The sequence below is a fragment of the Homo sapiens genome, chromosome 4 (genome assembly GCF_000001405.40).
Source record: "Homo sapiens chromosome 4, GRCh38.p14 Primary Assembly".
Taxonomy (NCBI): domain Eukaryota; kingdom Metazoa; phylum Chordata; class Mammalia; order Primates; family Hominidae; genus Homo; species Homo sapiens.
The window spans coordinates 148805517-148818307 of record NC_000004.12 but is presented as its reverse complement, the minus strand read 5'-3'; the positions used below and the strand labels follow the sequence as shown (position 1 = coordinate 148818307).

Here is a 12791-nt window from a genome sequence, read left to right as displayed (position 1 = left end):
CAGTGATGATGAGTATTTTTTCATGTGTCTGTTGGCTGCACAAATGTCTTATTTTGAGTAGTGTCTGTTCATATCCTTCGCCCAATTTTTGATGGGTTGTTTGATTTTTTCTTGTAAATTTCTTTAAGTTCTTTGTAGATTCTGGATATTAGCCCTTTGTCAGATGGGTAGATTGCAAAAATTTTCTCCCATTCTGTAGGTTGTCTGTTCACCCTGATGGTAGTTTCTTTTGCTGTGCAGAAGCTCTTTAGTTTAATGAGGTCCCATTTCTCAATTTTGGCTTTTGTTGCCATTGCTTTTGGTGTTTTAGACATGAAGCCCTTGTCCATGCCTATGTCCGGAATGGTATTGCCTAGGTTTTCTTCTAGGGTTTTTATGGTTTTAGGTCTAACATGTAAGTCTTTAATCCATCTTGAATTAATTTTTGTATAAGGTGTAAGGAAGGGATCCAGTTTCAGCTTTCTACATACGGCTAGCCAGTTTTCCCAGCACCATTTATTAAATAGGGAATCCTTTCCCCATTTCTTGTTTTTGTCAGGTTTGTCAAAGATCAGATGGTTGTAAATGTGTGGCGTTATTTCTGAGGCCTCTGTTCTGTTCCATTTGTCTGTCTCTCTGTTTTGGTACCAGTACCATGCTGTTTTGGTTACTGTAGCCTTGTAGTATAGTTTGAAGACAGGTAGCGTGATGCCTCCAGCTTTGTTCTTTCTGCTTAGGATTGTCTTGGCAATGCAGGCTCTTTTTTTGGTTCCATATGAACTTTAGAGTAGTTTTTTCCAATTCTGTGCAGAAAGTCATTGGTAGTTTGATGGGGATGGCATTGAATCTATAAATTACCTTGGGCAGTATGGCCATTTTCATGATATTGATTCTTCCTATCCATGAGCATGGAATGTTCTTTCATTTGTTTGTGTCCTCTTTTATTTCATTGAGCAGTGGTTTGTAATTCTCCTTGAAAAGGTCCTTCACATCCCTTGTAAGTTGGATTCCTAGGTATTTTATTCTCTTTGAAGCAATTGTGAATGGGAGTTCATTCATGATTTGGCTCTCTGTTTGTCTGTTACTGGTTTGGAGGAATGCTTGTGATTTTTGCACAACTGATTTTGTATCCTGAGACTTTGCTAAAGTTGCTTATCAGCTTAAGGAGATTTTGGGCCGAGACAATGGGGTTTTCTAAATATGCAATCATGTCATCTGCATACAGGGACAATTTGACTTCCTCCTTTTCTAATTGAATACCCTTTTTTTTTTCTCTTGCCTGACAGCCCTGGCCAGAACTTCCAACATTAAGTTGAATAGGAGTGGTGAGAGAGGGCATCCCTGTCTTGTGCCAGTTCTCAAAGGGAATGCTTCCAGTTTTTGTCCATTCAGTATGATATTGGCTGTGGGTTTGTCATAAATAGCTCTTATTATTTTGAGATACGTCCCATCAATACCTAGTTTATTGAGAGTTTTTAGCATGAAGCGTTGTTGAATTTTGTCAAAGGCCTTTTCTGCATCTATTGAGATAATCATGTGTTTTTTGTCTTTGGTTCTGTTTCTATGGTGGATTAAGTTTATTGATGTGTGTATGTTGAACCAGCCTTGCATCCCAGGGATGAAGCCAACTTGATCATGGTGGATAAGCTTTTTGATGTGCTGCTGGATTTGGTTTGCCAATATTTCATTGAGGATTTTTGTGTCGATGTTCATCAGGGATATTGGCCTAAATTCTCTTTTTTTGTTGTGTCTCAACCAGGCTTTGGTATCAGGATGATGCTGGCCTCATAAAATGAGTTAGGGAGGATTCCCTCTTTTTCTATTGATTGGAATAGTTTCAGAAGGAATGGTACCAGCTCCTCTTTGTACCTCTGGGAGAATTTGGCTGTGAATCTGTCTGGTCATGGGCTTTTTTCGGTTAGTGGGCTCTTAATTATTGCCTCAATTTCAGAGCCTATTATTGGTCTATTCAGGGGTTCAACTTCTTCCTGATTTAGCCGTGGGAGGGTGTATGTGTCCAGGAATTTATCCATTTCTTCTAGATTTTCTAGTTTATTTGCATAGAGGTGTTTATATTATTCTCTGATGGTAGTTTGTATCTCTGTGGAATTGGTGGTGATATCCCCTTTATCATTTTTTATTCCATCTATTTGATTCTTCTCTCTTCTTTATTAGTCTTATTAGTGGTCTATCAATTTTTTTGATCTTTTCAAAAAACCAGCTCCTGGATTCATTGATTTTTTTGGAGGGTTTTTTTGTGTCTCTATCTCCTTCAGTTCTGCTCTGATCTTAGTTATGTCTTGCCTTCTGCTAGCTTTTGAATGTGTTTGCTCTTGATTCTCTAGTTCTTTTAATTGTGATGTTAGGGTGTCAATTTTAGATGTTTCCTGCTTTCTCTTGTGGGCATTTAGTGCTATAAATTTCCCGCTACACACTGCTTTAAATGTGTCCCAGAGATTCTGGTATATTGTGTCTTTGTGTAAAAGAACAGAAATTATAACAAACTATCTCTCAGACCACAGTGCAATTAAACTAGAACTCAGGATTAAGATGCTCACTCAAAACCACTCAACTACATGGAAACTGAACAACCTGCTCCTGAATAACTACTGGGTACATAATGAAATGAAGACAGAAATAAAGATGTTCTTTGAAACCAGTGAGAACAAAGACACAACATACCAGAATCTCTGGGGTCCCTTTTAAAAGGCCACTAATCCCATTCTTGAGTATTCCATTATCATGACCTAATCACCTCCCAAAGACCCCTCCACCTAATACCATCCCATTGGAAATTAGAATTACAGCATATGAATTTGGTGGGTGACACAGACATTCAGACCGTAACAGCTACCGAAATCCAAAGTGGGGAGAGAGAAAGCTATGAGAAGAGTACATCTGAAGATACTTGGAAAAAGTGGTTTCTTTGGTGGATTCAATAAGGTAATGAGTATATGTAAAGGGAAAGGAAGATCATGAAGGCTGGGTAAAATGTAAAACAAAAGCATACATGTACAGATGTATGCAGGGTACTCTGGGGGCAGTGAATAGCTTGCTTTGTTGATGGTACATGTTTCTTATAGAAGAGTCATGAGAACTAAGTTTGAAAGGGCAGAGTGGGGTCATATAATAGAAGTCTTTAGGGATCAGGCTAATATTTGGTCTAAAGGTGAACACAGTTGGAAGCCTATTTAAGCAAGGCAATACAATAAGTAAAGGAGCTTAAGAAGAATTGTCTGTCACTGATGTAGCAAATGGAAAACTTTTTTCACTTACTGGACTGTGATGTTTGAGTTGAAATTAGGCTTCAAAAGAAAGGTGAACAATTGTGTTCTCACACGAAAAGTGGGAAGAATAGGGTGAATATGTATACAGTTTACCGAATCTGAGACCCCCATAATAATGATGAATAGTAATATGAAAATTTGTAACTGTTCAAGTTTGATTAAAGCATAGATAAGAGTCGAAAATAATTTAAGCAACAGAATCACCCAACCTATGTTTACTTCAAAACAAGTAAAGCTTTGAATTTCAAAACCATAGCCAAAATGTTAGTTTAAAAATGCAGCCTATTTAACTCATCCATCACATTCAATTATTTCAAAATATAATATTTTAAATGTTAATTTTGATGATAAAAATCCCATTTAATGAATTGAGCTGTCTCCTAGAAAATCTTTTATTAAGCCAATCACATTCTATAACTATCAGAAAGACTTGGGAATGCTAATAAGAAAAGGAATGTTTTAATGAAATGAAACATCCTAACACAAAGCTACCCAGATTGAGCTACTTAAGAGTCTCAATGGAGAAATGCTAAATGTTATCAAAGGTCTCTCCAAAGCCAGAGCCCTAAGGGCATAACAAACTCCTCCAAGAATTATGTTCTAAATTAGCTAGTGTTCCCCTAGATTGGTTATTAAAACCTTATAACCATATCTTGGAATTAAAAACCATTCATATTACACACTCTGTCAATATTTTATGCATTATATTAAGAAGGAGGAACTTCTAAAATTTAAATTCCTCATTGGCTCTGTCTCCAAAAACACCACTTGGGAAAGTATGACTCAGATTCTCACCTGGCAGGTAGAATACAAAATGTTCTCTTTTCACTCACGCAGACAGCCTGGACTCATGCCAGGAAGATTCTCTCTGGCTAATGTGTGAACATTCATTGATAATATTTTAAACACACACCTTTGTATTAAGAGATGATTGATTTTTTTCTTCTAGATTTAGTGAAAATGGTACTTACTTAGGTTAATCTTACTTAAATGACTTCCTTCAACTTGAAAACTTTGATGTGAAAGTTGTCTGAACTGCCAATGATTGCATCCCAAAGGAAAGCTAAAGATGAAAAATAATGACACATGGAATATTCCAAAGGTAAAAGAGCCTGCCTATTATTGAAAAGAACTCTCAAGGGAATTTATTAATATTCTTCTGAACGCTCCCCTCAAAGTGTTTAATTATTACACACATGTGAATTGAAAGAATGATGATGCTTTTTTCTTTTTACACCCTGTCCCCTCTCCCCTCTGAAGTGGTTACACCAGAGTCAAGGAGAGTACTATTCACCTAGCATTAGCAATTAATGCAGCTATAATAAAAGGCTAGCTTAAGCCTACAAAACAATCTGCTGTAGAAGGAGGGGATGAGAGAGAGGTTGGGAACCTTTTTTTGGTCTGGCCATGACAATCACAAATTGTGAGTGTGCATGAAAGTATGTTGTGTACTGTCTCTGCTGGTGGAGATTCTTCTCCATTTCCCCTTTCCTCCAACATAAATGGGTTTATGTGAGCTCATCATCCAATTCTAGAGTATGATTTCAAGCTCAGTCATCAATGCTAGACTTCAAAGTTTAGAACTACCTGAAACTGAATGTATTAACTCAAAAATAGATGTGGCATATATTACAGGACAAAATGAGATGATGATTTTGTACAGGGACTTCACCAAATATTTTGTTTTCAATAGCCATTGACTTTTTTAAGAGTGGTTATGTCATTATTTTGTTCATTGTTGTAATGGAACTTTACAAGTACCAGTTGGTCTCAAGGGACTCTTTAGGTGCTGTGAAATTAAGAGCAAGTTCCAAAAAGAAAAATTTTCAGATAGAAGTTGAGAAGTTCAGATAGAAGTCATTTACCCATTAATAGAGAGATGAAAGTTAATTCAATTTTTTTTTCTTGACTTGTTTTGACTTCTTTAACACTGTGGGAGATTCCTCATAAGCTTAGACAAGCATGGCTCTCAGCAATGCTACCCAAAAGATTAGTGATATCCACAATGCTCTAAGAAAGGAATTTCACGCCACTGAAGTTTCAATCTCTATACTTGCATGTCGTGTGTAATAAGGAGCATCATAGTATTCTGTGCATCAGATACGTGTGAGATGGCTGAAGAAAGCGAATAAGACCACTGCGGCAGTTATGAAGCTAGAAATAGAAGAAAGAAGATAAAACTTTCCAGAAGAGTATAGGCACATATAATTCCTTCAAAAAACAGCCAACTATTAAATCAGAGAATAAAATAAATATTCTGTTAAATTAAAATGTGTATAGCTTTTTTAAACAATCAACAGCTGACACACACTGAATCCTTTATTTGGGAAGCATCAGAAAAAAAAATATGTCCTGGTAATATCTATTCCAACAAACCACTTCAGCTTTTCACCCTCCTGAGGTATTATAATTATTCCCTGTACACATTGCCTTTAGCCTGTCAAGAAAAAGTGTCTAATATCCTCATTTTAAAAGATTTACGTCATTGCTCTTGCTCCCCAGGATGCTGTCATTTTCATGCATCCATTGTTAAGTGAACACTGTGCCCTCATTTTCCTTTTCAAAGGAAGACTGAACCGGCATTATTAGTATTTTAAATCTATTTTTTGAAAGGGAAAAAGATACCAAAAATCAACCAAATATTTCCCTGTGTTATTAAAAATCACTAGGTCGTCTTTAAATTTCCTGCCTTTATATGCTTCTTTCATGTAAGAAACTTGAGACATATTTTCACTTGGCTTTTACCCAAAGAGAACTTGAGTTGGCTCAAACTTGAACAGGCGAACTGTGGTTTCTTAAAAAAAAAATCTTTTTTCTAACACTTTTTAAAAAAGCATTAATTCAACTTACTATTAAAAAAAACAGGTGAAAGTAGTATGTGGCTTTCTTTACCTTATACATAGAAAAGGACTAAGACTAAAAAATTTATTCACAATCACACAAGCAGCCTAAGTGAATTAATAAAATCAAAAGATATTCTGAGTTGAATAAAAAATGGTCACGAGAAATGTGAAACCAAAAGATGAATTTATATGGCAGACAAGTTGATTTCATCCAGTTTGCCACAAACAATTTGGTGTTAGCCAGTTGTCATACAAATGGGTACTTCAAGACACCAGGAGCCTCTGAGTGAGAATGATGATGACTTAAAAACTCTTCAATATCACTGGGAAAACTCGAAGCACACATCTTACTAGGTCATTAGTTTTAACTATACATGGAGGTTTCTACTCAACATCACCTATGAAAGATTCAAGATCACTGATCCAATTATCTTTTTGATTCAACAACATATTCTTCATTGGAAACCACACCTAATAAAAAATACATGTTTTGTTAGACTTGATATAACCAGTTATTTAAATGCAAATTCCATTTATTTCTATATGCCACATATACAAAGGAGTTTCTAATATTAGCTAACAGAGGATAAACAATAAACATAACAGTTAATTTGCTCTAAAATTGCTGTAGCTTAAGTCTGTGGTTTAACTTATTGAGACAACTTTTATTTTTGTTATTCTCAGTATTCCCTTTGGGAGCTAGCTAAGAAACATGCAGCTTTTTCAATCTTGTATTTATAAATAAAGGGTTTTGTTACCAAGTATTAAATATATTCCTATTCAAATCTGCTTTAAAAATATGTTTAAAAATAGATCTCCTGAAAGAAAAATCACCTTTCTAAAACATATTACATATTCATAGTATATGACTTTTTTGTATGTTCAGACAGAAATTCCTGCCTAGAGGATATGTTCTCTAAAATTCAATATGAGACAGTGTTGGGTAATGAAAACAGGCACTGGATTCACCCTGAAAACAGGCACTGGATTCACCCAAACCTGGGTTTGAACCCTAGCTTTGTCACTTATTACTGCTGTGACTTTTGGCAATTTAACCTTCTTCAGTCTCATCATATAAAAATGAAGATAATAATCTCTATCTTGTCAGGTTCTTGTGAACATTACTATAGCACCTATTACAAGGTTTGGTCATAGGCAGTGCAGCATAGCAATTAAGAGCACAAAGTCTAGAGCCTGACTGCCTGGGTTCAAACCTCAGCGTTGTAATGTATAAGTTTTCACCTTGGGCAAGTTACCTAAATTCTCTTTGCTTTTGTTTCCCCATTTGTTAAATGGGAAAAAATATAGTATCTACCTCATAGAGCTACTATAAGGAATGTTGAATAGTAGTACATGTTGATTATTAAATAATAGACTTGGCATAGAATACATACAATGCAAATATTAGGTGCAATTATATAACAGTCTAACAAATAATAGCTATTCTGATGATGCTGCTGCAGAAGAGGTAGAATGTGACCATGAGAAACTCATCAAATGGCTCCATTCCAAAAGAGCAAGGATGACAGGAAACAACTGCATTGCTATGACAACATCGAAAATAGCTTTCTCCATTACAGTTATCTCTAGTCTCCAGAACCTGAAGAATGTTTTCAAAGCAGTCATAATTCTGCACATGCTTTGAAATTGCCCCTTTCCTATAACCAATGGCCAAATAGAAAATTTTGAAACTTCTTGATTCCTTATTCAGACTATATCTTAACCTTTTAATACCGTTCTTTGTTAATTTCTACACTTGATCTCAGCCAAAAGGCCGAGATGTGATCTTTGTTCATTTCTTTATTTTTGCTTATTCATTTCTTTATTTTTCCTGCATACATCCTTCTCCCCAATCAGATTATCGGTTTCTTGGATGGCAAGGATTTGGTAACTTCATTTGTTCCAAGCCATGAAAAGTGTTGTTAAATATATACGTTATCAAATCTAGACACTTAATAACCTTATGGCTAATATTTTGTATTCCTGTATGAGACACATACTTTTATGACTAATATCAATATGGAATAAATCAATGCTTTATCTAGTGCTTTAATTCAATTTTATGGGAGTTAGCCTGGAGGATATTTTAATCATCTGTGCTTAAACTTTGCTTGGCTTTTACACAAATAATATTAAGCACTATAACTATTCCCAAATTATAAAAAGCTGTAGTCTTCTTGTACAGCCAGAAATTCACATAAAACATCAGGAACTTTTACTTAATTTTACAACTAAGATATACAAGATAGATAAGATACTGTTGTTTCAGTATTAACTAGAAAATAGAAATAATGAATAATTTTTTATCAAAGATAAATTTCTTCTAGTATATCTTTGATAAGTGTTTCATTCACTTTTTATTTGTTTTCTTCTTCAGGGTTTATCTGTTAGCTGAAGGATGGCTCTTTTATTTATCGTTTTGATCTTATCATTTTCATTTTTTTGCATAAGAATATACATTTGGGGAACTTTTCCCAATTTCCTTTACATCACTGATTTGACTTTCTCAGCATCAATTCTGCATTTACTTGACTACAAATTGGGTTTTAATTTAGTTATTACATTGTAATAACCTGTTTAATGTTTTATTTCTCTGCACATGTTGCCATGAACTGAACACGTTGATTTTTAGAATTCAAAATACTAATATGATTTGTAGCTCTTTAAAAAGTGATTTTATCTAATTTAGCCTTACAACAGCCTCTCAGGTTATTGAACTAATCATTATTATCTTCATTTTAAAGAAGAAAAGAATCTTAGGTAAATAACTGGCTGGCTACAAAGATACAAGTTGCATAGGTCATCTCTATATCTCTAAGCAGCTGCTATTGTAGTTCCCCATCAATAGCCTGGTGTGTCTTAGAAAGTCTCTGGGAGAGTATCAGTGGCATAGTAGACATTTTTTTCTGATTGGCACACCCAATGGTGAATTTTCTTTCCCATTTGCATAATTCAAATCAAAGAAATTATAAAACAATTTTACATTTGATACTAATTATTAACAATTTCACATTAATAATTAAAAGATAGACTATATTATAGTGTGTTTCAAGAGGGTGTCAGGGTCTTTGTTGAATATAGAGACTTATAAATCATCATTTAAAATGTACTTTACCTAGTTGCTGCAGAGCTCTTATCACATTTGTATGTATGTAATTATTTTTTGTAATAATTTAAATAAGCTGTGTTCTCTCCATTAGATTATAAATAACATGAGTACAGGGACCAGATCTGTCATGTTTATTTCTATTACCAGAACCTGATGGTATAGTGTCTGACATTTAATACATAATTGTTTAGTGAATTAATCAATTAACAGATTCAAGAGATTCAAGCAATTTAGGGTTGAAATTCAATCTCTAGGTCCATCTTTATATTTTCCAGGTCAGCCCACGAATTTTGTATTTTGACCCTTTTGCTCATTTTGCCTCAATTTGTTTTGAAGGAGAATGATTTATTTTGTCTTTTTTTTTAAGCTACTTGTTATATTGTGTTAGCCTACATTGTCTTTTTCATCCCCTTGGCCCTTCTTCAAGTTACTGCTTCATGTCACAAAGTAGTCCTCATTTCAGGTTGTGGTGACCACAGAATCTACAGAAGGAGAACAGTCAGAAGGCAAAGCCTCCAGGAATGTGATGACCAAATATAAGCACAGGACCTTCTGGTGTAACCAGAAGTGGGGGAAACAAAGGCATGAGAGAGAACTACTGACTATAAATTTTTACTCTCATATTCCTGCAAGAGTTTTTTGGGAAACACTGTCAAAGCTTTACTATATTGAAAAAGTAGTTGTATTATTATAAAAAGTCAATGATTAGTTTAAAAACAAAAGTGAGCATAATTTCCTAAAACCCCAAAATGAAAAAGGCATTAAAGAGGAATAATAAAAGCATATTCGATAATGGAATTATTTTCCTCACGCCCTCTTCACCAAAAGGTAATTGAAGCATCAACGAAAGTACATGTAAAGGGGCTGAGAGACATTTATAAATATATCAAGAGGGACAATCCCACCAAATTATATGTAATATGCTAGAGGACCCTTTCTCTAGCTATTAGCTCCAATTTTGTAACCCTTCAGAAGGAAAACTGAACCACAAGAGAAATTCCAATTTATATACTTTGAGCCTAAGGCATATTCAAGCCCTAGTGATCAATTGGAATGGCTTTATAAAGCTAAGATAATCTACTGATGTCAGTTGGGGCTTTCTCATCATCCTGCATTTTTCCTCCATCAAAGGAAAAGAAAGAAAAGTGCCTGAATGGGATACGGCTCTACCAAAAAAACATCTAACACATAGGAAATGCTATTTCCCCTTGACACACTGTCATTATCCAACAAAAGACCAACTGAAGAGACAGGTGTTTCCTGAGGAATAGGATAGAACAGTGAGGGGCATTCTCCGAGATTTGAATGGGAGTAGGACTTTACCTAAAGGTCTGTGCTGACCTTTTCTTTATTTATTTCTCTCTATCTCTCTCTTCCTTCCTTCCTTCCTTCCTTCCTTCATTCCTTCCTTCCACCCTCCTTCCCCTTCCCCTTCCTTCCTTTCCTTCCTTCCTTTCTTTTTCTTCCTTTCTTTTTCTTTCTTTCTTTCTTTCCTTCTTTCTTTCTTTTCTTTCTTTCTTTTTTTCTTTCTCTCTCTCCCCTTCCTTCCTTCTTTTCTCTTTCTCTCTCTTCCTTCCCTTCTTCCTTTTTTGTTCTCTCTCTCTTTTCTTTTCTGTTCTTTCCTTTTCTTTCTCTTGAAGAGAACCTTAAAGAGTGGTATTCCTTCAAATCTTCCCTGTCTTTGATTCAATCAAGGTAAGAATTCAACTTTAATCTCTCTTTTTTTTAATTGAGACAAAGTCTTGCTCTGTTGTCCAGGCTGCAGTGCAGTGGTGAGATCTTGGTTCACTGCAACCTCCGCCTGTTGGGTTCAAGTGATCCTCCTCCCACCTCCACCTCCCAAGCAGCTGGGACCACAGGCATGTGCCACCAAGCCTGGCTAATTTTTGTATTTTTTTGTAGGGTCTGGGTTTTGCCATGTTGCCCAGGCTGGTCTCAAACTCCTGAGCTCAAATGATCTGTCCACCCTGACCTCCTAAAGTCCTGGGATTACAAGAGTGAGTCACCACACCTGGTGGAAGATGAAACTCATATGAAGAAGACACTCCATGAAGTGTCAGATACATATCTGGAGAATAGGGACAGATAAGCCTCTTAAGTGTTTTTTGTTTTATATATAAATATGCTTTACATCAATGCCAGTTGCAGTCAGCCAAGAATAAGAGCAAACCTGGTCTTCTTCAGTGGTCAGAATTTGAGTGACATCAGCATTCTTATGGGCAGGGAATTAAACTGCAATTATGGCGTGCTGAGGAACATGAGTTTGTTTTCAAAAAATCATGCTGAATTAACGTACTTGTTTCTGTTGAGCTTTTTAAGCTAGAACTTGATTTTTCCCTCCACCCTTCTGGTCCAAGCCTTTCTGCATGGAAAAAGGGGGGAAAGAACCTCTTCTTTCTAATCAAATACTGAGCAGAGGACACTCCACATTTCGGGAACAGGCCCCCAAATCTGGCCATAAACTGGCCCCAAAACTGTCCATAAACAAAATCTCTGCAGCACTGTGACATGTTCATGATGGCCATGATGCCCATGCTGAAGGTTGTGGGTTTACCGGAATAAGGGCAAGGAACACCTGGCCCACCCAGGGTGGAAAACTGCTTAAAGGCATTCCTAAACCACAAACAATAGCATGAGCAATCTGTGCCTTAAGGACATGTTCCTGCTGTAGATAACTAGCCAGAGTCCATCCCTTTGCTTCGGCCCATCTCTTTGTTTCCTGTAAGGAATACTTTTAGTTAATCTATAATCTATAGAAACAATGCTTATCACTGGCTTGCTATCAATAAATATGCGGGTAAATCTCTGTTCGGGGCTCTCAGCTCTGAAGGCTGTGAGTCCCCTGATTTCCCACTCCACACTCTATATTTCTGTGTGTGTGTCTTTAATTCCTCTAGAGCTGCTGGGTTAGGGTATCCACAACCGTGCTGGTCTCAGCACCATATTCCTACTTAGAGCATCCAGGCCGTCCCAGCATTTGGGTGGAAAATCAAAAAGCAGAGTCAAGCAGGTGCTGAAATAGCAGACACAAGGCTGGTGAAAAGCTACGTCCTTCTTCCTGATAAACCCTTCCCTCCAAAGTTGACTTTTCTGGGCAGGGCCCAGAAAACCATGCAGCAAGACATTTCTCTCTTTGAAAATATTTCATTAACCAATTAAACAGGCATAAAGAGAAGCAAAATGTGTGACAATTTTCAAACCAATCTGATCCTTTTGGACTTGAAAATAGTTATTTTCTTTCAGTGTTTAAAGTTATTAAAAATTATAAACCCTTGTGAAGTTTTTGATATAAATCAGTGGTTTTAGTATTGAAAACAACTTTCTTATTTGGAGCTTTGAAAAGTGGCTCAATATGTTTTCTATAATAACTTTACCACTTTCCAAGGCATAGATTTAATATTATACAACTGTCACTATCCAAGACAAATTGAGCTCTTAGAGTAAAACTATGATAATTATAGTATATTCCCATAATGGCATGGAGAAAAATCCAAACTGATATGGATTTTGTTAATCTGATGATTACTGACACATGGGTTGATGTTACCTTTGCACTATCTCTTGAAAAGAGGG

At 35.9% G+C, this 12791-nt stretch overlaps 2 long non-coding RNA genes across 3 annotated transcripts in view; one reads left to right on the top strand and one right to left on the bottom strand.

Annotated features, from left to right (window-relative positions):
* LOC107986195 (uncharacterized) overlaps positions 1 to 12791 on the bottom strand; it is a 496338-nt gene that overhangs the window by 214551 nt on the left and 268996 nt on the right. The window lies entirely within an intron of this gene.
* Positions 1 to 12791, top strand: part of LOC105377481 (uncharacterized) — a 51454-nt gene that overhangs the window by 16990 nt on the left and 21673 nt on the right. The window lies entirely within an intron of this gene.